This window comes from Homo sapiens, chromosome 5, assembly GCF_000001405.40.
Source record: "Homo sapiens chromosome 5, GRCh38.p14 Primary Assembly".
NCBI lineage: Eukaryota > Metazoa > Chordata > Mammalia > Primates > Hominidae > Homo > Homo sapiens.
The window spans coordinates 21,458,932-21,486,569 of NC_000005.10; the positions used below are offsets into that span (position 1 = coordinate 21,458,932).

At 45.8% G+C, this 27,638-nt stretch overlaps 1 pseudogene across 3 annotated transcripts in view, besides 7 other annotated features; it reads left to right on the forward strand.

Annotated features, from left to right (window-relative positions):
- Nucleotides 1-581: 581 nt before the first annotated feature.
- Nucleotides 582-27,638, forward strand: part of GUSBP1 (GUSB pseudogene 1) — a 129,860-nt pseudogene continuing 102,803 nt past the window's right edge. For 2 of the 3 annotated variants that reach the window (NR_027026.2, NR_027028.3), the window contains exons 1-3: nucleotides 582-653; nucleotides 747-812; nucleotides 2,852-2,935. The product of NR_027026.2 is annotated as a GUSB pseudogene 1, transcript variant 1 (transcript). Of the gene's footprint in view, nucleotides 654-746; nucleotides 813-2,851; nucleotides 2,936-11,578; nucleotides 11,732-12,530; nucleotides 12,671-14,425; nucleotides 15,533-27,638 lie in introns of those variants that run through there. The other variant, NR_027027.2, reaches the window with a different exon arrangement.
- Nucleotides 12,576-13,229: an enhancer, noted in NCBI's record as "OCT4-NANOG hESC enhancer chr5:21471616-21472269 (GRCh37/hg19 assembly coordinates)". NCBI's record gives its function as "activates a minimal SCP1, AML or CMV promoter by ChIP-STARR-seq in naive H9 embryonic stem cells {active_cell/tissue: H9 hESC(naive)}" and the evidence as "EXISTENCE:reporter gene assay evidence [ECO:0000049][PMID:30033119]".
- Nucleotides 22,551-23,178: an enhancer, noted in NCBI's record as "H3K27ac-H3K4me1 hESC enhancer chr5:21481591-21482218 (GRCh37/hg19 assembly coordinates)". NCBI's record gives its function as "activates a minimal SCP1, AML or CMV promoter by ChIP-STARR-seq in naive H9 embryonic stem cells {active_cell/tissue: H9 hESC(naive)}" and the evidence as "EXISTENCE:reporter gene assay evidence [ECO:0000049][PMID:30033119]".
- Nucleotides 23,179-23,806: an enhancer, noted in NCBI's record as "H3K27ac-H3K4me1 hESC enhancer chr5:21482219-21482846 (GRCh37/hg19 assembly coordinates)". NCBI's record gives its function as "activates a minimal SCP1, AML or CMV promoter by ChIP-STARR-seq in naive H9 embryonic stem cells {active_cell/tissue: H9 hESC(naive)}" and the evidence as "EXISTENCE:reporter gene assay evidence [ECO:0000049][PMID:30033119]".
- Nucleotides 25,689-26,315: an enhancer, noted in NCBI's record as "H3K27ac-H3K4me1 hESC enhancer chr5:21484729-21485355 (GRCh37/hg19 assembly coordinates)". NCBI's record gives its function as "activates a minimal SCP1, AML or CMV promoter by ChIP-STARR-seq in primed H9 embryonic stem cells {active_cell/tissue: H9 hESC(primed)}" and the evidence as "EXISTENCE:reporter gene assay evidence [ECO:0000049][PMID:30033119]".
- Nucleotides 26,316-26,942: an enhancer, noted in NCBI's record as "H3K27ac hESC enhancer chr5:21485356-21485982 (GRCh37/hg19 assembly coordinates)". NCBI's record gives its function as "activates a minimal SCP1, AML or CMV promoter by ChIP-STARR-seq in naive H9 embryonic stem cells {active_cell/tissue: H9 hESC(naive)}" and the evidence as "EXISTENCE:reporter gene assay evidence [ECO:0000049][PMID:30033119]".
- Nucleotides 26,528-26,910: a silencer, noted in NCBI's record as "fragment chr5:21485568-21485950 (GRCh37/hg19 assembly coordinates)". NCBI's record gives its function as "represses an EF-1alpha promoter that drives an FKBP-Casp9 reporter gene in an ReSE screen in HepG2 liver carcinoma cells {active_cell/tissue: HepG2}" and the evidence as "EXISTENCE:reporter gene assay evidence [ECO:0000049][PMID:32094911]".
- Nucleotides 26,943-27,569: an enhancer, noted in NCBI's record as "NANOG-H3K27ac hESC enhancer chr5:21485983-21486609 (GRCh37/hg19 assembly coordinates)". NCBI's record gives its function as "activates a minimal SCP1, AML or CMV promoter by ChIP-STARR-seq in naive H9 embryonic stem cells {active_cell/tissue: H9 hESC(naive)}" and the evidence as "EXISTENCE:reporter gene assay evidence [ECO:0000049][PMID:30033119]".

Consider the following 27,638-nt stretch of genomic DNA (forward strand, 5'->3'; position numbering starts at 1 on the left):
GCCTGGCCAACATGGCAAAACCTCGTGTCTACTAAAAATACAAAAAATTAGCTGCGCGTGGTGGTGGACGCCTGTAATCCCAGCTACTTGGGAGGCCGAGACAGAAGAATCGCTTGAACCCGGGAGGCGGAGGTTGCAGTGAGCCGAGATCACACCGTTGCACTCCAGCCTGGGCGACAGAGACTCCGTTTCAAAACAAAAACAAAAACAAACAAAAACAAAAATTAGCCGGCGGGCACCTGTAATCCCAGCTACTCGGGAGGCTGAGGAAGGAGAATCGCTTGATCCCGGGAGGCAGAGGTTGCAGTGAGCTGAGATTACGCCACTGTACTGCAGCCTGGGCGACAGAGGCTCTGGCTTAAAAAAAAAAAAAAGGGAAAGGATGTTACAGAAACTCCAGATACTACTCCCCTTCAGTGGTCTGAGTTGCGCGGCGCTTTCCCGCCTGTCCGGTAGGGGGCGCCGCGCAGAAAGCCGCAGTCCCTCTGCGGAAGGCGCCGCTCTTGGCTTCGGCGGCGCCGCTGTAGCTTGGAGGCGGTACTTCCTCCAGCATTTGCCGCGAGTTATTGGCAAGTTCCCCTGCAGTTTGGGCTGTCTCTGTGGCTGGTTCTGCGGCGTGCGGCCAGCCATGGAGCGCTCTGGGCCCAGCGAAGGTGGGTTTCATGAAGCGAGTCCTGGCGGGGTGGGCCGTGTCGGGGGAGCTGGGGCGCCGCACTAACTAGGCCGCCTCTCTTTTCTTGCTCCAGTGACAGGCTCAGACGCATCGGGACCGGACCCGCAGCTTGCGGTCACCATGGGCTTCACGGGGTTCGGTGAGTGACTGCCCCAGGCAGAGACCCTCTTCCTTTTGCAGAGGTTTGAAGAGCCGCAGAGTGGGAGGGGAGATCGAGCTGTCAACTCGGAATTACTGTAGCTCGGGTGCATACCTTGCAGTTTGTCAATATTCTTCTCCCATTTGTCTTCTATTCTGCGTATCCGTTGGAACCAACTCAGGTGACAGTTATGAGAGTCCTGGAGAGAAAGGAAGAGAAAGGATTTTTCTAATTTTAAGTCACCAATAATGCTAAAATGAACATTTTTGTAAATAACAGCATTTGTACGAGGATTTTTAAAAATATGTAATTCTGTAGGGTAGATTTCTAAAAGAGAGCCTAGTTTATTCAGAAGTATAAATACTTAAAAAGCTGAAAAATTGGGTATGTGCCTTTTAAAGCTTCTTGATGCTTACTGCCGTAATACCCATCAAAAAACTTGTTTCAGGTTATACCAAAGTTAACAGAATTTAAGAATGCCATTTTTACCATATCCGTACCAACACAGAGTAGGTATTATTATTTAAAAAGAAAATTATTTTAAAAATGAAAACAAAACTTTAGTAGACTGATACATGAAAAATGATTTCTTTTTATTTTGCATTTTAAAATTATAAATGCTGTTCATCCAAACATTGGGATTCTAACTTCCTTGAACCTTTTCTCAAGGTCTTCTTGTTCTCTTTTGACCAGCGTGTATTAATTCTATGATAGTAATTAAACAGTAGACTTACACATATTGGCCTTGGGTTCTGTTCACACATACTAGTTCTGTAGTTTTTCTATTCATTTTTTTTTTTTGGGAGACGGAGTCTCGCTCAGTCGCCCAGGCTGGAGTGCAGTGGCAAGATCTCGGCTCACTGCGAGCTCTGCCTCCTGGATTCACGCGATTTTCCCGCCTCAGCCTCCCGAGTAGCTGGGACTACAGGCGCCCGCCACCTCGCCTGGCTAATTTTTTTTGTATTTTTAGTAGAGATGGGGTTTCACCGTGTTAGCCAGGATGATCTCGATCTCCTGACCTCGTGATCCGCCTGTCTCGGCCTCCGAAAGTGCTGGGATTACAGGCGTGAGTCACCGCGCCCAGCCTTTTCTATTTTTTTATTTTTTGAGATGGAGGCTCGCTCTGTCACCCAGGCTGGAGTGTACTAGTGCGATCTTGGCTCACTGCAGCCTCCTCCTCCCAGGCTTAAGCCATCCTCCCACCTTAGTCTCCTGAGTAGCTGGGACCACAGATATGTGCCACCACACCTGGCTAATTTTTTATACTTTTGGTAGAGACGAGGTTTCACCATGTTGCCCAGGCTGATCGATCTCCTGAGCTCAAGCAATCCGCCCACCTGAGCCTCTCAAAGTGATTACAGGCATGAGCCACCCCACCCGGTATAAATCCTTCATTTTAGTACATCATTCCTTTACTCAGGAGTGAGAAAGGTGTCCATATGTTTGTGCCAAATAGGGGAAAATTTTAAGAGTTTTGATAAAGTTACTGGGGGAGGAGGAGAATGTTTCCATGCTCAACAGTTCCTTGTTATAGGGCTGAGATTTCTGTTTCCCTCTTAGCTCCTTAAAGTACCTGCATTACTTCTCATGTTGCCCCTTTCGTCTTCAAGCCAACTATAACGCCTCAAATTCTTCTCAAACGTTGGATCTCTCTGACTTCTTCCGCCATAGCTGTTGTGCATCTTTGCCTTTAAGGGCCAGCTAGGATAGTTTCCCTATTTAAAAGTCCATAACCTTAATTACATTTGCAAAGGGTAACTTTTGGGACATTCTCCATTCTGCCTCCCACATTAGTGTTGTTGTTTCATAGGGTAGGGATCTAGAGGAGGATGGGAAAGTTGCCTGGTTAATAGTACTTAGTGAAGGGATTGTCATCAGAAGTTTTCTGTGACTCAAACTCCTTCTCTGATATTTTATGGTTATATTGGAGCCATGCTATAAACTAGACAAAGTAAGTGTTTATTGATCAGTATTGATCGCCTAAAGTTTGGCCAGCTTACTGCAAGACAATCACAGTCTCCCATTTGTTCATCTTTTAGGTAAAAAAGCTCGCACATTTGACTTGGAAGCAATGTTTGAACAAACTCGAAGAACAGCTGTGGAAAGAAGTTGCAAAACACTGGGTAAGAAGTTCAGATATTTGTCGTTTTATTGGTTTAAGTACTATGTATACCTCATGTAAGTATATTAAAAAAGAGAAAAGAATGTTGGCTGGGCGCCGTGGCTCACGCCTGTAATCCCAGCACTTAGGGAGGCCAAGGCAGGCAGATCACCTGAGGTCAGAAGTTTGAGACCAGCCTGGCCAACATGGTGAAACCCCATCTCAACTAAAAATACAATAATTAGTTGGGCATGGTACAGGGGCCTGTAATCCCAGCTAGTCGTGCGGCTGAGGCAGTAGCTTCGGTTGAAGTCGGGAGGCGGAGGTTGCAGTGAGCTGATATCCCCCCATTGCACTCCAGCCTGGGGGACAAGAGTGAAATTCCATCTCAGAGAACAAAGAAAAAAAAGAATGTTGTTATGCTACTTGTCACTGTTGGTTTTTTTTTTTTTTTTGAGATGGAGTCTCGCCCTGTTGCCCAGGCTGGAGTGCAATGGCATGATCTCGGCTCACTGCAGCCTCCACCTCCCCAGTTGAAGCGATTCTCCTGCCTCTGCCTCCCGAATAGCTGGGACTACAGGCACATGCCACCATGCCCGGCTAATTTTTTGTATTTTTAGTAGAGATGGGGTTTCACTGTGTTGGCCAGGCTGGTTTTGAACTCCTGACCTTGTGATCTGCCTACCTTGGACTCCCAAAGTGCTGGGATTACAAACGTGAACCACCGTGCCCTGCTTTTTGTTTTTTGGGTTTTTTTTTTTTTTTTTTTGAGATGGAGTCTCGCTTTATTGCTGGGCTGGAGTGCAGGGGTGCGATCTTAGCTCACTGCAACTTCTACCTCCCCGATTCAAGCAATTTTCCTGCCTCAGCCCCCCAAGTAGCTGGGACGACAGGTGTATGCCACCACGCCCAGCTAATTTTTGTATTTTTAGTAGAGATGGGGTTTCACCATGTTGGCCAGGATGGTCTTGATCTCTTGATCTTGTGATCTGCCTGCCTCCTAAAGTGCTGGGATTACAGGTGTGAGCCACCGCACCCAGCCCAATTTATCATTTTAAAACCAACAATGGGCCAGTTGTAGTGGCTCATGCCTGTAATCCCAGCATTTTGGGAGGCTGAGGTGGGTGAATCACCTAAGGTCAGGAGTTCGAGACCAGCCTGGCCAACATGGTGAAACCACGTCTTGACTGAAAATAGAAAAACTATCCGGGTGTGATGGTGGGCACCTGTAATCCCAGCTACTAGGGAGGCTGAGGCAGGAGAATCGCTTGTACCTGGGAGGCAGAGGTTGTGGTGAGCTGAGATTGCACCATTGCACTCCAGCCTGGGCGTCAAGAGCAAAACTCCATCTCAAAATAAATAAAATAAAATAAAATAAAATGGGCGACAAGGGCAAAACTCCATCTTAAAATAAAATAAGATAAAATAAAATATAAAGTATAAAACAAAATAACTGAAATAAAAAATAAAATGTTGTACAGCAGCAATATCCAGTATTTGGCAGTGTACCTGACAAAAAATATTTTCAGTCTTTGGAAGAAAACTTTTTTGTGGTGAATAGAAAGCCATCTACATGTACTATTTTTTGAAAAAACCCTTCATTATTTGTTTTATTTGAGACGGAGGCCTGCTCTGTCACCCAGGCTGGAGTGCAATGGCGCGATCTCAGCTCACTGTGACCTCCGCCCCTTGGGTTCAAGTGATTCTCTTGCCTCAGCCTCCTGAGTAGCTGGGATTACAGGTGACCACCACCACGCCTGGCTAAATTTTTTGTATTTTTAGTGGAGACGGGGTTTCGCCATGTTGGCCAGGCTGGTTTCGAACTTGTGAGCTCAGGTGATCCGCCTGCCTCGGCCTCCCAAAGTGCTAGGATTACAGGTGTGAACCAGTACTTTATTTCTGACACCAGATATGTAGGAGTTTTCCCCCACACATCAACCAGTTCTCCAACTGGGTATCCGGTAACTCACCTTAATTCTGACACCGTCTGCCTGGAGACTACCACAAGACTGCCTTCACTCAGACACTAATCTCAATTCACAGGTTGTGACCAGTGCTTCTAATCTACTGGCTATAAATCAGGGTTCCCATGACCACTCTTTTTGCTTTGATAATTAGCTAGGTCGGCTCACAGGGAAACACTTTACTTATGTTTAACAGTTTATTATAAAGAATATTATAAATGATACAGATGAACAGCCAGATGAAGTAATGCATTGGGCAAGGTATGCGGTGGGAGAGGTGCAGAGCTTCTGTGCCCTCTCTGGGTGCACCAACTCCCCAGCATCCCCCTGTGTTCAACTACCCTGAAGCTAATCACATCTAGTGGTTCAGGAGTGTCTAGGCTGGGTGCAGTGGCTCACACCTATAATCCCAGCAATTTGGGGGACCAAGGTAGGAGGATCACTTGAGCCCAGGAGTTTGAGACAAACCTGGGCTAACACAGTGAGATCCCATTCAAAAAATCTTATAAAAATTAGCTGGGCATGGCGGTGCACACCTGTAGTCCCAACTACTTGGGAGGCTGAGATGAGAGGGTCACTTGAGCCCAGAGGTTGAGGCTGCAGTGAGCTATGATCATGCCACTGCATCACAGCCTGAGTAAAAAAGCAAGAGCCTGTCTCAAAAAAAAAAAAAAAAAATTTCTATAGATCTTAATTTCCAGCTTCCCCAGAGATTGGTGGGTGGGGATGAAAGTTCCAATTATCTAACCTGTCAGTTTTTTTAGTGAGCAGCAGTCCCATCCTGAGGCCTAGGGATCCCACACTAAGTCACTTCAATAGCATAAACTTAGGTGGGATCCAAAGGGGCTTCTAATGAATAACAAAAGACAGCTCCTATCACTCAGGAAATTCCAAGTATTTCAGAAGCTCTGTGGCAGGAACCTGAAACAAAGACCAAATATATATATATTTTTTTGAGACAGAGTCTCACTCTGTCGCCCAGACTGGAGTGCAGTGGTGTGATCTCGATTCACTGCAAGCTCTGCCTCCCGGGTGCACGCCATTCTCCTGTCTCAGCCTCCTGAGTAGCTGGGACTATAGGCACCGGGCACCATGCCTGGCTAATTTTTTTTTTTTTTTTTTTTTGTATTTTTAGTAGAGACAGGGTTTCACCCTGTTAGCCAGGATGGTCTCGATCTCCTGCCCTCATGATCCGCCCCCCTCAGCCTCCCAAAGTGCTAGGATTACAGGAGTGAGCCACCGCACCTGGCCAAATATATTTCATATTATACCACAGTATCATCACATCAAGAAACAATTTTAATATCCTCAAACAGTAGACAAAGACATGCTATCTGAGGCATTTACAAATGTTTTAAACAATTTAGTGAATGTTTGTACTATCACAGTATAGGTACCTTGTATTTACCATTTTAAGCATATAATACAACATGTTTTGAACAAGGATTGTCTTATTTGGCTATGTCAGCTTTTTGTTGTTATTTACTTATTTATTTTTTTGAGTTGCCCAGGCTGGAGGGCAATGGTGCAATCTAGGCTCACTGCAACCTCTGCCTCCTGGTTCAAGCAATTCTCCTGCCTCAGCCTCCCCAGTAGCTGGGATTATAGGTATGTGCCACCATCACCTGACTAACTTTTGTATTTTTTGTAGAGACAGGGTTTCACCATGTTGGCCAGGCTGATCTCAAACTCTTGAAGTCAAGTGATCCGCCTGCCTCAACCTCCCAAAGTGAAGCTTTTTATTTTTAATTTTTTTATTTTCAATTTTTGTGGGTACATAGTAGATGTATATATTTGTGGGTATGTAAGTTTTATAGCCCCTAGTACTTTACTTTGTAAAATAGGTTCTCAGAAATATTTTGAGAATATTAAATTGAATTTAGACCTGTAATACTGTCTTGTTAAAAAATGAAATCTTGCTGCTTTGGAGAATGTTTTAAAATGGCACAATCTGGGCTGGGCACGGTGGCTCACGCCTGTAATCCCAGCACTTTGGGAGCCTGAGGTTGGTGGGTCACCTGAGATCAGGAGTTTGAGATCAGCCTGGCCAACGTGATGAAACCCTGTCTCTACTAAAGATACAAAAATTAACCCGGTGTGGGTGGCGGGCACCTGTAGTCCCAGTTACTCGGGAGGCTGAGGCAGGAGAATCGCTTGAACCTGGGAGGCGGAGGTTGCAGTGAGCCTAGATCGTGCCATTGCACTCCAGCCTGGGCGACGAGAGCAAAACTCTGTCTAAAAAAAAAAAAATGGGCACAATCTGTTGGAAAGAGCTTGGGATTTGGAATTGGGGGACCTAGGTTTAAGGCCCAGCCCCACAGTCTACTAGATGAGGAACATTGGATGGGTTTTCCAATTTCTGATCCTTCATAACCCTGTTGTGTGTGTATCATCTACCTTGGACGTTTCTTGAAGAGATTAAGATTTTGGGTGTAGTAGCTTATAAACAGCAAAGTACTTTATAAATATTATTTTAAATTCTTGCAATTTTTCTTAGTAAAGCATGTATACATTTTACCTAAGAGGAACTTAGGGAGTTATTAAATTTTTAAATTATTGAAAAATTGTCTCAAGACTATGATCTCCTTTGATTTTTGTGGACAAATTATTGAACTTTCTTGATTTACTATTACATCTTTGGACTGCAGTTTCTACCTCTGATCTAAACACATGAATCTAAATTGATTATCTCTTTGAAAGATCTACTTAGCTTTAGCATGTAAATAGAAAATAACATTGGAATAATTTATGGAAGTAGTATTCATCATTATATGGGAAGTTACTCATAAGAGATTTTTTTTTTTTTTTAGTGTTCTTCCAGACTTGGCAATTAGATTACATTTAGACTGTGGAATTAAAAGTGATTCCCTGTGAGCTCTCCTAGCAAATTATGAAATTGAAGAGAGAGAGAACGGGTTGCGGGAACCCTAGTTTCCTACCGTGAGACAGTTTGACTTACTTTTCTTTAAAAGTTGAAAATTCTCATATGGGCATTATTTATCTCATGCTTGGTATTGGAGTCTTTCCCTGGGTATTCATAGTACACTTGAGGAAACTAAGACTTTGACCCTTTTAATAGCAAGTTTGTCTGTATGTGGGGGTATGAGCTGTCTTGGTTGCTAAGTGCACTAGTGGAAAGGATGAATTACTATAAAACCCCGATAAAATATGTGCTGTGAAGGGTCTGGAAATGATAATGGTACAAATTTTTTTTAATGTTTTTTATGTTCTTGAAAGCTATAAGTATGTGTAGGACATATGAAATACAGATTTTTTTTCTCTTTCTTGAGACAGAGTCTCTCTCTGTCGCCTAGGCTAGAGTGCAGTGGGACGATCTCAGCTCACTGCAACCTCCGCCTCCCAGGTTCAAGGAATTCTTCCTCAGCCCCCTGAGTAGCTGGGATTACAGGCGTGCACCACCATGCCCGGATAATTTGTTGTATTTCTAGTAGAGACGGGGTTTCACCATGCTGGCCAGGCCGGTCTCGAACTCCTGACCTCGTGATCTGCCTGCCGCAGCCTCCCAAAGTGTTGGGATTACAGGCGTGAGCCACCGCGCCCAGCTGAAATACAGACTTTTTTTTTTTTTAGAAGTGTTATACTAGGCTGGGGACAGTGGCTCATGTCTGTAATCCTAGTACACTTTGTGAGGCTGAGGCAGGTGGATTGCTTGAGGCCAGGAGTTGGAGACCAGCCTGGCCAACATGGTGAAACCCCATCTCTACTAAAAATACAAAAATTAGGTGGGCATGGTGACTGGCGTCTATAATCCCAGCTGCTCGGGAGGCTTAGGCAGGAGAATTGCTTGAACCTAGGAGGTGAAGGTTGCAGTGAGCTGAGATTGTGCCACTGCACTGACACCTGGCGACAGAGTGAGACTCTGTCTCAAAACAAAAACAAAAAGCCCAAATGTCCAACAATGATAGACTGGATTAAGAAAATGTGGCACATATACACCATGGAATACTATGCAGCCATAAAAAATGATGAGTTCATGTCCTTTGTAGGGACATGGATGAAATTGGAAACCATCATTCTCAGTAAACTATCGCAAGAACAAAAAACCAAACACCGCATATTCTCACTCATAGGTGGGAATTGAACAATGAGATCACATGGACACAGGAAGGGGAATATCACACTCTGGGGGACTGTGGTGGGGTCGGGGGAGGGGGGAGGGATAGCATTGGGAGATATACCTAATGCTAGATGACACGTTAGTGGGTGCAGCGCACCAGCATGGCACATGTATACATATGTAACTAACCTGCACAATGTGCACATGTACCCTAAAACTTAAAGTATAATTAAAAAAAAAAATTAAAAAAAAAAAAAAAAACCAGAACTCCTCTTCCCCAAGGTGGGTCATAGTAACTAAGAACCGCTCTTTCCCAAAGCCAATCATAAAATCCAGAACTAGTACTCGAACTTTCCCCAGCCTTTCTGTGTAAGCGCTGGCCATAAAGAAAGTCTCTGACCTACCTTATCTGACTGTGGGTCATAAGACCCTCATTCCGGAGGGGTTCTGCCCTATACCCTGGAGGAAGAAATGCAGCACGGAGAGGCCAGGAAGAATCTGGCTGGACAGGCCTTTCTGGGTGTCCCCCTCAGTCTATGACATCAGGTCATTCCCTTTTTGTCCGATACCTTTTTACATGCCTGTCCATTCTTCACTGAACCTGAGCATAAAAATAGACAGTTTTCCCTGGGTCTTTGGGTCTTCTTGTCCAAAGGCTCCTGTGTCACATAAAACTTGGATTAAATAAATCTGTTACTTTTTTCTCTTCTTCAAAAAAAAAAAAAAAAAAGAAAAACTAAGGGAAAAAGAGGGAGGACTGGCATGGTGTGGTGGCTCACATTTGTAAATCTTGAGGCAGGAGGATTGCTTGAGCCCAGGAGTTCAAGACCAGCCTGGGCAACATAGTGAGACCCCGTGTCTATTAAAAAAAATAATAGTAAAAAAGAGGGAAATGGCAGCTGAGTAGGCAGCCTCAATATCTTTTCCTGATTAGTAATATAATTGACTGTAAGACCTGAGGGAGAAGATGAGCCTAGAGTACAAATGCTGCTGCCACCCCCCGAGGTCTGGAGGAATTGGCTGAAAAAACAGGGTGAACTAGGAGCTAAGCAGGCCCATTCTTTTTTTTTTTTTTTTTTTTTTTTTTTTTTTTTTTACCTTCCGGGTTCAAGCGATTCTCCTGCCTCAGTGTCCTGAGTAGCTGGGACTACAGGTGCACACCGCCACACCTGGCTAATTTTTTGTATTTTAGTAGAGACAGGGTTTCACCATATTGCCCAGGCTGCTCTCGAACTCCTGAGCTCATGCAAGCCACCCGCCTCGGCCTCTCAAAGTGCAAGGATTACAGGTGTTAACCATCACGCCTGGCTTCAGGCCCATTATTTTCTTTTTTTTTTTTTTTTTTTTTTTGAGACGGAGTCTTGCTCTGTTGCCCAGGCTGGAGTGCAGTGGCGCCATCTCCACTCACTGCAGGTTCTGCCTCCCGGGTTCATGCCATTCTCCTGCCTCAGCCTCCAGAGTAAGCTGGGACTACAGGCACCTGCCACCACGCCCGGCTAATTTGTGCATTTTTAGTAGAGATGGGGTTTCACCATGTTGCCCAGGCTGGCCTCGAACTCCTGACCTCGTGATCCACCTGCCTCGGCCTCCCAAAGTGCTGGAATTACAGGCATAAGCCACCATGCCTGGCCTTGAAACCATCTTTCAAAATGTGGTCTTTTTGCAGTACAGCTGGAATGTCTCTGCCTTTCCCACCATGCACCTTTGTAAAGGGGCGGCTTCTGTCTCGCTGGTGTAACAGATTTCTTCCCTGTGTCCCCTTTCTCTTCTGTCAATGAATCATGGGTGGCTGTCAGCTGGGGACCACTCTCAGTGTCTCATGCACTGAATGCAACATGGACACAAACTTACGATAGGGCCAGGTGGGGGACAGCAAGAGGTGAGCACCGGAAATTGCATGAGGTAGGAGTCACTGGCTGGTAGTGGGTGAGGGACACGTGGTAGGGACAGTTCAGCAGCTGGATCAGGGTGGAAATCCAAATCCTGACAGCTGAGAAGTGGCACAGACCTGCTTCTGTGGGGACAAGTGTCCACTGGCCCTGGCCAACTGGCCTCCAGGGGGCATTGTTGGAACATGCGATCATCCCAAAGCATTTCAGCTTGAAGAAGATCTAGGACACAGTTTGTTGTTACCACCTCAGAGCATTTAGATGGGATGTGATGGATGGAATTGAAGTTAAAAACCCATTCACCATTTCTAGGTAGTACAGTAGGCTCCTAATTTACAGAAATGCTTGTGAAATTGGGAATCATGATAAAATCCTCATACCTCCTCCTCTTTTAACCAAATCTTTCTAAAATGCACAATTATAATTTCTTACCTTTAGGAAAAAGTAATTATGTTATATGTGTTATATACACTATGTAAATATAGTTCATTAAATCATTCTTTGGCGTTTGAAGACTTTCTAATTCATTACTTCATTCCAGACATCAATGACAACAGCACATACCGAGCAGGTACACATATGAGCTACCTACTAATATGCCCTGATTTTGATTGTATTTTGTGAAAACCTTGGTATGGGTTATTTTTAAATGAATGTTTTCCCAAATTTTAAGCTGAAACTAGGATGCGTCAAAATTATCTTGGTCATAATCTTGTCAATGATGTCGTCTAAAGGCCACCAGGAACACACCTGTAGCCCAGCAAAGTTGAGGCCATCAACTGGCTCATCACAACAAGGAAGGCTGTGCACCACTGGGACCCAGCAGCAGCTCAGCAGCAGCAGTGAAAGGGCCTTGGGAAAGACTCGGAGGGTTTGGCTTATACAAGGTGATCTTAGGGAGGGTCAAGGAAACAGGCTGTGATGGTTAATATTGAGTGTCAACTTGATTGGATTGAAGGATGCAAAGGATTGTTACTGGGTGTATATGTGAGAGTGTGGCCAAAGGAGATTAACATTTTAATCAGTGGACTGGGAGAGGCACACCCACCCTCAATCTGGGTGGGCATCATCTAATCAGCTGCCACAGCAGCTAAAATAAAGCAGGCAGAAGTTGGAATGAGCAGACTTGCTGAGTGTTCCAGCCTTCATCTTTCTCCCATGCTGGATGCTTCCTGCCCTCGAATGTCAGACTCCAAGTTCTTCAGCTTTTTTTTTTTTTTTTTTTTTTTTTGGACTCTTGGACTTACACCATTGGTTTGCCAGGGGCTCCCAGGCCTCTAGCCGCAGACTGAAGGCTGCACTGTGAGCCTCCCTACCTTTGAAGTTTGGGACTCAGACTGGCTTCTTGGCTCCTCAGCTTGCAGTCGGCCTATTGTGAGACTTCCCCTTGTGATCATGTGAGCCAATTCTCCTGATAAACTCACCTTCATATATACATCTATCCTATTAGTTCTGTCCGTTTAGAGAACCCTGACTGATACACAGGCCATGCTCAGATGGAGTGCTGTCTGGAAATGGGAGTAATTCTGTGGTTGAATGTCTTAATTGTCCTGGAAGGTGGGAGAAATGGAATGAGGCTGGTGCTACAATTGATGTAAAAGCAGCAGCTGCTCACATAAGCCGGGGTGGGGGCTGCCTAGGCGTATTTGTGGTATTGACCACGTTCTTGTTTTTGTTTGTGACCAGGCCAGATTACAGAGGGGTATTGATTTGCCTTGCCCCCGCCCCCACCATCACAGTGTGTCCCTGTCCAGTGTTGGTGCTGTGTGGCATTGGCTTGTGTCCATAGGAGTCCATCAAGGCAGAGCGGCAGAGTGGGAAGGCAGGTCAGCTTCCAGCTCTTCCAGGCTGCATGTCCCACTCAATATCCTGTAAGTTCTGATCTGGCAGATACTGAATACTCAAGGGTTCACATTCTCTTAGCCTAGAGGTGGCTGCAATAATGAAAGGCATTTGGCTGATGTGTTTTCAAAGGAGAGGGAAGCTGTCTGTGTTTGTTACCTGCGGCTGCATAACAAATGACCACAGCCTAGTGACTCGAAACATCACACACCAGTTACCTCCGCTCTCAGTAGGTCAGAAGTTCAGGCATAGACCAGCTGTGGCCTCCACTCTGAGTCTCAGCAGGCTACAATCAGGGCTCAATCAGGGCTGTGGTCCTGTCAGAGGCTCTCTCAGGTTGTTGGTGGTTGTAGGACTGAAGTTCCTGTTTTTGGGGGGTAGTCAGCTGGTGTATTAGTCTATTTTCACACTAGTGATCAAGACATACCTGAGACTGGGTACTTTATTTAAAAAAAAAAAAGAGATTTAATGGACTCACAGTTCCATGTGGCTGGGGAGGCCTCACCATCATGGTGGAAGGCAAAAGGCCCACCTTACATGGCAGCAGGCAAGAGAGAATGAGAGCCAAGCAAAAGGGGTTTCCCCTTATAAAACCATCAGATCTCATGAGACTTATTCACTACCATGAGAACAGTATGGGGGAAACTGCCCCCGTGAATCAATTATCTTCCACCAGTTCCCACAACATGTGGGAAATATGGGAGCTACAATTCAAGATGAGATTTGGGTGGAGACACAGCCAAACCTATCAGCGGGGGACCACTCTCAGCATCCAGGGGCTGCCATGGTTCCTGCCACATGGCCTCTCACAGTCCTTCCTATAGGACGGACGGCAGCCCTTCTTACACAAGTCAGCAAGAGGGAGTCTCTCTTGCCCCCACTTGCTAAGGCAGAATCTCACATCAGATGTAACCATCACATTTGCTGTATTCTATTATCTAGAATTATGTCACAAGCCCCTTTATGCTCAGGGGAGTGGATTATCCAAAACATAGATCACCGGGGAGGGGTGACCTTAGGGTGTGTTGGCCACATCACCTAAGAGTACATGAAACATCTCTCTCATTTCTTCCATTTCTTGAGCTTTTAAAAAATTACTAAACGAATAAACATAGACAATTTAGGTTGCATGAATGAATACAAAGAACATATTATCATTCCTAATTATCACAATTTCTACCACAAACATGATCACTTGTAACACTTGCATGCATGTACTGGACCAGTTTTTATAAACCATCCCAGCTATGGTCTGCTGCTCAATGGGACTGATGACTCTTCAGACGTATGGTCTGGGATCAACCACATTCTTGCAGGCCACCAAGAGGAGGCATCCATCTCCACAGAAGAGAGACGAGCTCTGGGCTCCTTCTGCACCTTCACAGTGAAGGCTCAACGGGGCACATGGATCCCTGTGTTGCCCTAGATATGACATTTTTACATTTTTGACTTTTCACCCTGTAGTGGGGGTTAAGGGCAGAGCTACAGGCATCTGGTAGGTATAGCCTAGGGACGTTGCTAAATACTCTTCCACAGGGAGGACAGTCTCTGACCACAAAGAATTGTCCAGCCTAAAACATCAATAGTGCCAGGGTTAAGAACACTGGCTCCAACCTTGCACAAGTCTGTGAAGTTCAAGACATTGTGGAGGTTTTTCTTGTTTTGTTTTGTTTTTTTTTTTTTTTTTTTTTTTTGCTGTTTACAAAGGTGTCCTTTTCTCTCCCCATGATACTTCACAGTTCAACCCAATGGAAATGGATTGAAAGAGTGAAAGTCACTGGTCTCAAAGAATCTACGGAATTTAGCATTTTGAAAATCACATAGCAATTTTGGGTAGGTATTCACCTGCACTAAAAAACCAGGCAAACATCCGACTCCCAGGATAAAGTGACTGAGAGCAGTAGAAGACTTGTTGAGCCTTAAGGAATAAGAGGAAAATTACGTTATGAAGTGCAGGAACAGCACAGACCCAGACGAGGGGACGCAGCCCGGAGCCAGTAACCCGGCGCCACCTCCTCCCCAGGGCGCAGCGCTGGCTGATCCCCAGATACCGTGATCACACGTCCCGGGTCCTGAGAGCGCCTCATAGGTAGACAGTTCTTTGGGACTTCTGGGATGCAGCACTTGAAGAGAGGTTTACCTAAACTTTCCTCCTGGGAGCCTGTGATCATTTGAAAGTAACAGAAGAAAGTTGTCAGGCTGAGGAAAGTTTCAACAGGCACTTGGTGAGAATGGGAAGCATCCATTCATTGTGAAATCGCGGGGACAGAGGAGGAATTCACGGGATCAGAGCACTGAGAAACTCCAGAGGCTTCTGGTTCACCGCCCTGATTCCACAGATGTGGGTCAGAGGCAGAGATGGAAGTTGGAATGGACAAGCCTGCCCTCTCCTTGGCTCTCCATGGCTCTGTCCTCAGGCTGTTTCTGCAATTTGACATGAGGCCTGGCCCCAGGGAAACCAGTGGGGCCTCATCTCCTCCCTGTGCTGCTCTGAGGTGGAGCCTTCTCAGGGTCAGTCCAGCTCTGGAGCCCCTCTCCAGCTCGGTCACCAAAGCTGTCTGGTCCCAGGGCGGTGCTGAGTGACAGGCATGCCAGCCAATCCAATCGGCAATTTCATATCCAATGCATGTGACTGATAAAGAGATAACGCCCTGTCTCCAAGACACAGGCTTTACATAAACAGCTTTAATGACTTCTTCACTTAGAGACAAGACTCCTTAGTGGTGGAACCTCAGGCATCCGTGCAGGACGTAAGAAAGCTGCCGTATATACATGAACTGAGAAGTGTGTAGAAGAATAAATACTGTAATAGGTAATAAAATGTATGTATTTTTATTTATGTGCTACTTTGTCTTTCTCCCTCTCTGTGTATATACACATACATACAAAAATGTATTCATTCTATGGAAAACATGAAAGATGTAATATTCTTTACATATGAAATTTTAATTAATGTATTTTTTCTGATCATATGAACACCACAAATATAATTTTATAATTTTTTTACCTAACAATAACTCTTAAACATGAATATACATGGACAATATCATAGTTTTTTTTTTAATCATAATTAAAATGGTTGTGAAACATTCCACTTTAATTTATTCCTCCTAATCCCTAGAGTGGTACGTTAAGTGAGGGTTTCTCAGCCTCGGTACCATGGGCAGTTTGGGTTAGCCCATCCTTTTCAGAGACACTGCCCTGGACACTGCAGGATGTGGCTTCACATTCTGGTCTCTGCCCACTGGATGCCAGAAACATCCCTTCCCCTTAGCTGTGGTAATCAACACTGTCACTAGACATTGCCAAATGTCCCCTGGAGGACAAAATCACCCTAGGTTGAGAACCAATGGCATTTTTTTTTAAACTATCATTGTAAGACAAAGCCACCTGAACTTCCTTGCTGATGTCTCTTCACTTCTTTTTTTTTTTTTTTTTTTTTTTTTTTTTTGAGACAGAGTCTTGCTCTGTCGCCCAGGCTGGAGTGCAGTGGCATGATCTCGGCTCACTGCAAGCTCCGCCTCCCAGGTTCACACCATTCTCCTGCCTCAGCCTCCTGAGTAGCTGGGATTACAGGCGCCCGCCACCACACCTGGCTAATTTTTTTTGTGTTTTTAGTAGAGACGGGGTTTCACCATGTTAGCCAGGATAGTCTCGATCTCCTGACCTCATGATCCGCCCACCTTGGCCTCCCAAAGTGCTGGGATTACAGGCATGAGCCACCACTCCTGGCCTCAACTTCTATCTAATTCTATTCAGAGGGAAAATTTCTAGAAGCGACATTCCTGTTGCAGAGAAGAGATATTCACTTGAGAACCTTGATATATATTTGCCAAATTTCTGTCCAAGTATCATTTTTAAAAAGTTAAAAATATGACTTTCATAGAAACACATACAGAGCATATGTCAAAGATGTATTTCTCTAATGCAATGAGACAGCCAGCAAGACAGTGAGGCTGCAGCAGCATGGGGACAGAGTGCAGAAAGAGGTCGCAGAAGCCTTGGAAGAAGGTCATTCAGTCATACAAGGACACCCTGATGCTTGCGCTGCGGTCCTTTCCAAGTCCACGGGGCATTGTTCCTTTGTGTCAACACCAGATAAGATTCATGGGCATTGCTGTCAGTGTTGTGTGTGTTATAATACCAGGGACCCTCACATGGCTGTGTTAGATTCTAACCAATAGACAATAATAAGTCAAAGCAAAGACCGTTACTGATTCCTTCCATTGTTTCTTTAGAGACTTTGGTTTAGCGCTCTGAACTTTCTGATTATCAGATCTTATGTGTTTGCTAATATATAAAATAACAAATTAGACATAATGCCCTATAATTTTCTCAGTTTGATTAATTGCCTGAAATTTGATGTGTCAGTCAGTGTTTGATTAGAATAGAGAAATCACATGTAATTTGAACAAGGAAAGATTAATACGAAGAATTGCTAGCTATAACAGGGTTTTGGAGCAATAAGGATTGGCTAGTAAAAAGTAAAGAGAACTCTAAGGAATATAAGAATAACAGATAAAAGGAGCATCAACCCCTGGGGTTGAGATACAACGTCCAGGGCCTCTGGGATTAAGATCCAGACTCTGTTTGAGGGGGCATGGCTGTCGCTCACTGAATGAAGAGAAGTTGCTGTGGTAGAAATCTGTCTCATCAGAATCACTCTGCTATAATACTGCCTTGTGGAGGTACTGGTGGAAGATACTCGGTGCTGCTGACTGCTGTGCACTTCAGGGGCCTGACAATGGAGCAAACTGCATGGGTTCTGGATCTGGACACTGGAGAAGCTGTGTTGCAGTACAGAAGCCTGCCAAGAGGAGCACACAAGACTCTTGGAAAGAAGAGGAAAATCTCCTCTTACAATGTCAATCTAACATCATGCCAGCTAGCAAAGGAAAAATGTTTAAAGGGTCCAAGTTCATTTCTGCAGAGCAGACATGAAAGGTTGAATTCGGAGCTGAGAGACAATAAGTGGACAACTGGCACATTTGGTCAAACTTGTAATTTTATATCTTAGATGGACAAATTAAACACAAGTCCATAGGTGTTTTCCTTACAAGCTTACATTTAAATTTGGGATCCTGGTCAGAATTTTGCTGAGGACTTCAATTTTTCCCAGTGTTTCAGGAAGGATACCGTGGGGCCAGAGCCACTTTTCTTTATTGTAAGGTCCTGGGCTGTGGCCCCTTTTGCTTTTCTGGGCTCCTTTCTCATGGGCATCTGTTTTGGGAGCTTCATTTCCTCATCTGCTTTGACACTTTAATCTTGGACATTGTAGTGAAATGCTTCACATTGTCACACATTCTAATCTCAGAGACCACTCCAAATCTTTTAGAATTTTCTTGGCCATTGGAATTAGTACTCTGGAATCAGTACATTAGGAATGGTTTTTTAAAAACTATCAGCTAGAATTTCAATATTTTAGAAGAAATGGTCAGTATAAATTTGGAGAAGCGGTTTCTAGCTAGTAGTAGCTGTGCAGAAAAACAGTTTTATTGATAAGTATCTGATTTGGATTTAGGAACCAGCTAGGATGAAAAATTCAATTGAGGTCTGGCCAGATAGACATAAATTTTATTTTTCCTTTATATTCTGTGTCCAAAAGACAAATTGTCATGAGTTATTTATTTTCTTTTCTGAAGTATCCATTTGTTTCTCAGCTTTGGAATTAGAGGTGTAGAAAATAAACGGGACTCAACAGCCTAAGATTTTGTTTAAAAAGATGTTCTTATTTATTTATATTAAAAAAATTTATAAAAATTTTTTTGCAAGAAACTGTCAGCATTTTCATTTTTGATAGATAAATTTTATATTTGGGATTTTGATTATTAAGTTGTTTCTCCACCAGAATTCCTTATGGATTTTTGTAATAATCTGTATTTAGTGTATTTAATTATTTGCTTTCCATTTATATTTATTTTGGGATTTCTTTTTTAGGAGAATGGCACCTGTGACAGCATACTGTTAATATTACCCTTGTATCGTACTTTACCATGCCATCTCTGAAGAATATTACAGACCATTTTGGAGCATGGTGAATAACAAATTTTTACCTTAAGAGTTCACTTGAATAGTCATTTTTATATTTGTGACTGCAAGTCACTTTTAGGGGCTGTACTTCCTTAGTGCTGGTAGCATTATTATCCAATGGACTTTTATAGCTTTCATTAGGTTTTCTTTTGTTTTTGTTCTTTAAAGAACATTTTACTTATCTTAGTATTTCATTTTTCATCCATATTATGAGGCAGTAAGAGTCTTCTGTTTTTCCAAAGTTGAGACTGCTTTATATTTATTTCATATTGTCTACAGCTGTAGTGTTCAATACATTAGCCACTAGCCACATATGGTTATATAAATACGATAAAATAAAAATTGGCCAGGCGTGGTGGCTCACGCCTGTAATCCCAGCACTTTGGGAGGCCGAGGCGGGCAGATCATGAGGTCAGGAGATCGAGACCATCCTTACTAAGACGGTGAGATCTCATCTCTATTAAAAATACAAAAAATTAGCCAGGCGTGGTGGCGGGCGCCTGCAGTCCCAGCTACTCAGGAGGCTGAGGCAGGAGAATGGCGTGAACCTGGGAGGCAGAGTTTGCAGTGAGCCGAGATGGCGCCACTGCACTCCAGCCTGGGGGACAGAGCGAGACTCCATCTCAAAAAAAAAAAAAAAAAAAAAAAATTAAAAATTAAGTTCTTTAGTTGCACTAGCCATATTTCAAATACTTGATGGATACATGTGACTAGTGGCTAACATAAGGGATAGCACAGATATAAAACATTTCCTCGTCATATAAAGTTCTATTGGATAGTGCTGGTCTGTAGCTTATAGGATGGTATCTTAGTCTGCTTCAGCTGCTAAAACAGAATACCATAAATTAGGTAGCTTAAACAGTAGATATTTTGACCCGGCGTGGTGGCTTATGCCTGTATTCCTAACACTTTGGGAGGCCGAGGCAGGTGGATAACTTGAGCTCAGGAGTTTGAGACTAGCCTGGGCAGCATGGCAAAACCTTGTCTCTACGAAAATTAGCTGGGCATGGTGGTGCACGCCTGTAGTCTGAGCTACTTGGGAGGCTGAGGTGGGAGAATTGCTTGAACCTGGGAGGCGGAGGTTGCAGTGAGCCATGATCGCACCACTGTACTCCAGCCTGGATGACAGAATGAGACTCTGTCTCAAAAAAAAAACAAAAACAAACAAACAAAAAAAACAGATATTTCTCACAGTTGTGGAGACTGGAAGTGCAAGATCAAAGTGTTGGCAAATTACGTTTCTTAAAGAGGGCCTGCTTCCTAGATTGGAAATGGCCATCTTCTCTCAGTATCCTCACATGGTAGGGAGAAAAGCAGCTCTAGTGTCTCTTCTTATAAAGGAAGTAATGCCACCATAGGGGCTCTATTCTCATGACCTCATCTAAACGTAATTCTCTCCTAAAGGCCACGCCTCCCAGTATCCTCACCTTGGGGGTTAGGGCTTTATCATATGAATTTTTTTTTTTTTTTTTTTTTTTTTTTTTGAGACAGAGTCTCGCTCTGTCTGTCACCCAGGCTGGAGTGCAGTGGCACAATCTCGGCTCTCTACAAGCTCCGCCTCCTGGGTTCACGCCATTCTCCTGCGTCAGCCTCCTCAGTAGCTGGGACTAAGGCGCCCGCCACTGCGCCCGGCTAATTTTTTTGTATTTTTAGTAGAGACGGGGTTTTACCATGTTAGCCAGGATGATCTCGATCTCCTGACCTCGTGATCCACCCACCTCGGCCTCCCAAAGTGCTGGGATTACAGGCATGAGCCACCGCGCCTGGCCTATCATATGAATTTTGAGGGAACACAATCATGCAGTCTGTAGCAGATGGTAATAGGCTGATATATTACACTTGTTGATGTAAATCTGATAGGTTTCTTTCTCTCCAAGGACAGCTTTTTAAATATTTAACAGTATCAATAATTTTTCAGTTTCTGTGAGAATTTTATAATTTATAATTTGCAGACTTAATGTATAATCTATTTTGTCCTAACAATTACAAATATATTTTTTATTTCAGATTATATATATTCCTACCAGATGGAGATAATTACAGCTTTAAAAATTTTTATTTTTTCATTTTATTTCACATATTGACATTAAATTTTTATTGACACATAATAATTGTACATATATATGGGGTACAATGTGATGTTTTAATACATGTACTCAATGTGTAATGATCAAATCAGGGTAATTTGCATAATGATTTTTCTGTAGGGAGAAAATTCAAAATCTACTCTTCTGGCTATTTTCAAATATATAATATGTTATTGTTAACTATACTCATCCTACTATGCAATAGGACACCAGAACTTATTCCTGGGTTCTACATCTGTTAAGCCAACCAAAGATTGGAAATATTGGGAAAAAAAATTGCGTCTGTACTGAACATGTACAGACTTTTTTCTTGTCCTTATTCCTTACACAATATAGTACAATAACTATTTGCATGACATTTACATCGGATATTATGAGTGATCTAGAGTTGATATGAAGTATATGGGAGGATGTGCAAAGGTGATGTGCAAATACTATGTCATTTTATATCAGGGACTTGAGTATCCTTTGTTATCCTCAGGAGATCCTGAAACTAGTCCTCCATGGATACTGAGGGCTGACTGTCTAGTCCTATCCTCACGGAACTTTCATTGTAATGAGGGAAGACTGACTATAAACAAAATATATGTAATAGGTGGTGGTAAGTACCGTGGAGAAGTAACAAATGGGGCAAAGTGAGTTATACAGCTCCATCCTTAGAAACCTTGGAGTACTTTTCTTAGTTTATACTCGTGGTGGTTTCCTTTTGTCTCCTTTATTACATGGGACTCTGACATGTGCCCATAGCTAGGGTGGCAGTAGGATCTACCCGAAAAGCGTCCTGCTGATACAGGACCAAAGCATCCTGTTGTTCTCGAGCCTATAAAAAGAGCTAATGGTCTTGCTTCTCTTAACTGTGGCCTCCTACACTGTGTTTTGGATGATTGGTGATGTCTTGGATATTCTGTTTCTTTGGAACTTTGAATATACAACACTTTACTAGGGAATTAGCAATGGAAGCAGAGCAAAGATGTACAGAGGAAACAATGCATAACTCTGATGGAATTGAAGTCATGAGGCAGCAGAGAGCTTAAATTAGAGCTTTAAAAATTTTTATTTTTTAGAGGGAATTTAATTGGGAGTAACAGCAGTAATAGTTAACGGAGCCAGAATGCTTGAGTCATATAATTGCAAAGCAGAGTTGGGAGCAACAGATGCTGAAGAGTAGTTGCTGTAGTTCCTCTTTGGGTCGTAGGAGCAGTTGTCATGTTACTATATAGCTACTGAATGAAGAAGAGTTCTTAGTGAGGCCTGGGTGAACAGCTCTTCTTAGTATTCTGTGTGACCCCATTTGACCTTTTAACAAATCCCTAAGTAAATAAATAGCCCCTAAGGTAAACTAAGTTTTTCTCTGCTATTTTTTTGCTTGAGAGAGCTATAACTGTAGTAGACTTATATTTCTGAACATTTTAGTGCTTGCCAATATTTGGTAATATTTATGTTTCCTATATTTGTAATGAACATTCTTCTTCCGGTACATTTTTTGTTAAATTATTGTTTCATGCATAAAAGTTCACCTTTTATTGTATAAAATTGACTCAGATTAATTTATACACATTGACAATGGGTAAATAGAGCTTTTCAGATTATTAAAAGCTGAAGGATGCCCATGTAAGCAAAAACAAAAAAGAAAAAACCAACAAAAATAAACCCAAACCCCTCAAACAATTTCGAACACAAAACATTCTTCTCACGCCGGCATCCCTGCTTGCAGGTGTGAGGGGGGCAGGAATCAGCGAGGTGTCCTGGGCTGAGTCCCCGGAGTGGGAAGAGGTGGCAGGAAGGGGATCTGAGGAGGAGAACAGGGGTCCTGGTGGTCTGTGCTTCTTCCCAGACACGGGAGCTGTAGAGGAGACCTCTGCAGCAGATGCTAGGGGGGCCACTAGGCCTAGGCAGTCTTGGGACTTGGGTCTGTCCTGCTGTGCATCCATAGTGGGTGCTTTAGAAAGGGGAGGCCCACGCGAAGCCCCCGTTGCAAGTGAGGACAAAGTGTGGGAAGGCCGTGAGGGTCTGCAGTCCGAGATGGCCTTGCCCTCAACGTGCAGTGCACTGTTGATGTGGGGCCTAGAGGCCTGGGATCTGGGGGAGCCACCCCTGGGGGCGAGTGTCTGCCCTGGTGCTGTATCTGCCTTTTGACAGCGGGTGTGACCCGAAGAGACAGCCTGAGGTCCGTCCTCACTCACTGTGTTTGAGGAACTGAGGGCCAGCTGGCAGTGGCATGAGGCTGGCCCCCTCCTCCGCTTTAGTTCCGGGAGGCCTTCCGTAGAACTGTGGGAGCTGGAGCTGGCATTTCCTTGGAGGCAGGATCTGGTCCGGGAGGTCTGGGATCTCTGGTTATATCTCACTTCTGACCTCTGGGCACGTGCTGCAGCTGTGGCTGAGGCCAAGAAATGTGAGGGGCCTCCATTCACTGCATTGAGTAGTGACCCCGACGTGGGGTTCAATGTGGAGGGGGGAGGGGCTGCTGCTGCAGCTGCAGGAGCGGAGGTGCCAGGCCTTGTTCTTCTCATGCTGGCATCCCTGCTTGCAGCTGTGAAGGGGGCAGGAATCAGCGAGGTGACCTGGGCTGAGTCCCGGGAGTGGGAAGAGGTGGCAGGAAGGGGATCTGAGGAGGAGAACAGGGGTCCTGGTGGTCTGTGCTTCTTCCCAGACACGGGAGCTGTAGAGGGGACCTCTGCAGCAGATGCTAGGGGGGCCACTAGGCCCAGGCAGTCTTGGGACTTGGGTCTGTCCTGCTGTGCATCCATAGTGGGTGCTTTAGAAACGGGAGGCCCACGCGAAGCCCCTGTTGCAAGTGAGGACAAAGTGTGGGAAGGCCGTGAGGGTCTGCAGTCCGAGATGGCCTTGTCCTCAACGTGCAGTGCACTGTTGATGTGGGGCCTAGAGGCCTGGGATCTGGGGGAGCCACCCCTGGGGGCGAGTGTCTGCCCTGGTGCTGTGTCTGCCTTCTTTTCACAGCGGTGACCCGTAGAGACAGCCTGAGCTCCGTCCTCACTCACTGTCTTTGAGGAACTGTGGGCCAGCTGGCAGTGGGCTGAGGCTGGCCCCCTCCTCCGCTTTAGTTCCGGGAGGCCTTCCGTAGAGCTGTGGGAGCTGGAGCTGGCATTTCGTTTGAGGCAGGATCTGGTCCGGGTGGTCTGGGATCTCTGGTTATATCTCACTTCTGACCTCTGGGCACGTGCTGCAGCTGTGGCTGAGGCCAAGAAATGTGAGGGGCCTCCATCCACTGCATTGAGTAGTGACCCCGACGTGGGGTTCAATGTGGAGGGGGGAGGGGCTGCTGCGGCAGCTGCAGGGGCCGACCTTGTTCTTCTCATGCCGGCATCCCTGCTTGCAGCTGTGAAGGGGGCAGGAATCATCGAGGTGACCTGGGCTGAGTCCCGGGAGTGGGAAGAGGTGGCAGGAAGGGTATCTGAGGAGGAGAACAGGGGTCCTGGTGGTCTCTGCTTCTTCCCAGACACGGGAGCTGTAGAGGAGACCTCTGCAGCAGATGCTAGGGGGGCCACTAGGCCCAGGCAGTCTTGGGACTTGGGTCTGTCCTGCTGTGCATCCATAGTGGGTGCTTTAGAAAGGGGAGGCCCACCCGAAGCCCCTGTTGCAAGTGAGGACAAAGTGTGGGAAGGCCGTGAGGGTCTGCAGTCCGAGATGGCCTTGTCCTCAACGTGCAGTGCACTGTTGATGCGCTGGAATGCTGCCTGTTTTTCCAGGTGCAGGTCTTCCGCCGTGACCCGGTACCCCAGCTCTAAGGGAGGTGGCAGCATCAAAGGCTCCCCTCGCCTGCTTGGCAGCAGGGGAATCTTGCGTCTACGGGGCCTAGAGGCCTGGGATCTGGGGGAGCCACCCCTTGGGGCGAGTGTCTGCCCTGGTGCTGTATCTGCCGCCTTTTCACACCGTGTGTGACCCGAAGAGACAGCCTGAGGCCTGTCCTCACTCACTGTCTTTGAGTAACTGAGGGTCAGCTGGCAGCGGGATGAGGCTGGTCCCCTCCTCTGCTTTAGCCCCGGCAAGCCTCCCGTGGAGCTGTAGGAGCTGGAGATGGCATTTCGTTTTGTGCTCGAGCTCGTCCAGGATGTCTGGGATGTCTGGTTATATCTGATTTCTGAGCTCTGGGCATCGAGGTCTGTCTGCAGAGGCCCGGGCCTGGGCACAAAGGGAGAGAGGCCTCCATTGTCCCGCAGGGGCCAAAATGCAGACCGTGCATCCCCGGTGACCTCGGGGACCGTTCTCTGATCAGCAGGATTTTCTTGGACTCTGGGGTCCTTGTCCTGCTCAGGCATCCCTGCCCTGCTCTCCTTGAGGGCCCTCAACACTATCTTCCCTGGACACAAGTCTGGGGACAGCCGGGTGTTGAGGACCCCAAAGGGGTGACTACCTGCTCCTGGGCCCCACAGAGTCCTTGTGCTCAGTGTAGTGGCTGAGCTGGGGGATGCCCTGGAATTCGGAGCACACAGCACTGGCTTACTGTGGTACCTGTGCAGTGAAATTGGAGACAGAATCACCAGGATGGAACACAGGTCTTGCAGGATCACGGAAAACCTTCTTAGAGTTGTCTTGACACCACTGATGTTGAGTGTCCGGGTGTTTGTAGGATGGCCTGCCACTCAGTCCAGGGGCAGGAGCAACGGGGAGATCCCACAAGCAAAGTGAACTGGGCGATGGGCTGAAGGGGCTCTAGGCAACTGAGCCCTACTCGCAGGTCCTCGGCCTTGGCCCAAACAGGAATGAGGGGCACAGAGTGCCCGGGTAACCGCTCCTGGGAGCAGTGGGGAACTGTCGGATACTTGAACTCTCGAGAGCTGGGCTCTGAGCGTCCTCGTCCAGCTGCCAACTTGGCCAAAGGCTAAGCCAGCAGATTGTTCTGTTGCCGGGCGACGCGACTTCTAAACCTGAGGGAGTGGGCATGTGAGCACATAATGGCACCAGTGACAGAGCGACCATAATGGATTAATAAGCGCAGCCAGGTACCCGCGCAAGGCACTTGCTGGCAATGGCAGGAGGCGGACGTGGGGGGGGTCGTGCAATAGGTACTGGAGGGAGAGACGTGGGCACAAAGGTCGCGGGAGGAACAGGTGCCCACAATGGCTGCAGATCTGCCCGTGGATCACTGAAGATTCCTGCTCTCCTGCTGAGGTGGAGACTGCAGTGAGCTGAGATCGCACCATTGCACTCCAGCCTGGGCAACGAGTGCAAAACTCAGTCTCCAGATAAAAAAAAGAAAAAGAAAAAAAAGAGGCCGGGTGTGGTGGCTTATGCCTATAATCCTAGCACTTTGGGAGGTCGGGGTGGACGGATCACGAGATCAGGAGTTGGAGGCCAGCCTGGCCAACATAGTGAAACCCCGTCTCTAGTAAAAATACAAAATTTAGTCAGACATGGTGGGCAGGAGAGAGCATGTGCAGGGGAACATCCATTTATAAAACCATCAGACCTCATGAGACTTATTCACTACCATGAGAACAGCATGGGGGAAACTGCCTCCATGATTCAGTTATCTCCACCTGGCCCCACCCTTGACACATGGGAATTGTTACAATTCAAGATGAGATTTGGGTGGGGACAGAGCCAAACCATATAATTCTTCCCCGGCCCCTCCCAAATCTCATGTCCTCATATTTCAAAAGCAATCGTGCCTTCCCCTAAGTCCCCCAAACTCTTATTTCAGCATTAACTCAAAATTCCATAGTCCAAAGTCTCATCTGAGACAAGGCAAGTCCCTTCCACCTGTGAGCCTGTAAAACCAAAAGCAAGTTAGTTATTTTCTAGATACACAGGGATACAGGCATTGGGTAAATACACCCGTTTCAAACGGGAGAAATTGGCCAAAGCGAAAGAGCTACAGGCCCCATGCAAGTCCAAAACCCAGCAGGCAAATCTTAGAGCTCCAAAATGACCTCCTTTGACTCCATGTGTCACATCTAGGTGATGCAAGAAGTGGGTTCCCAGGGTCTTGGGCAGCCCCGCCCCTGTGGCTTTGCAGGGTACAGCCCCCCCTTCTGGCTGCATTGAGTGTCTGCAGCTTTTCCAGGCACACAGTGCAAGCTGTCAGTGGATCTACCATTCTGGGGTCTGGAGGATGGTGGCCCTTTTGTGACAGCTCTGCTTGGCAGTACCCCAGTGGGGACTCTGTGTGGGGGCTCCAACCCCATATTTCCCTTTGACACTGCCCTAGCAGAGGTTATCCATGAGGGCCCCCCGCTGCCCCGCACAGCAAACTTTTGCCTGGATTTCCAGGCATTTTCATACATCTTCTGAAATCTAGGCGGAGGTTCATGAACGTTAATTCTTGACTTCGGTGCATCTGCAGGCTTAACACCACCTAGAACCTGAAAGGCTTGGAACTTGCACCCTCTGAAGCCATGGCCTGAGGTGTACCTTGGCCCCTTTTACCTATGGCAGGAGCAGCTGGGATGCAGGGCACCAGGTTCCTAGGCTGCACACAGCAGGGGGTTCTGGACTCACAAGAGCATTTTTCCTTCTAAGCCTCCTGGCCTGTGATGGGAGGGTCTGCTGTGAGGGTCTCTAACATGCCCTGGAGACATTTGCCCCATTGTCTTGGTGATTAACATTTGGCTCCTCATTACTTATGCAAATTTCTACAACCCAGTCTCCTGAGAAAATAGATTTTTCTTTTCTGTTGCATCATCAGGCTACAAATTTTCTGAACTTTTATGCTCTGCTTCTTCTCGAATGCTTTGCTGCTTAGAAATTTCTTCTGTCAGATACCTTAAATCATCTCTCTCAAGTTCAAAGTTCCACAGATCTCTAGGGAACTCTAGAAAAAAATTCTTATTTTCACTCTTTCCCGCCTATCTTATGCCCGTTTCTAACACAGGTG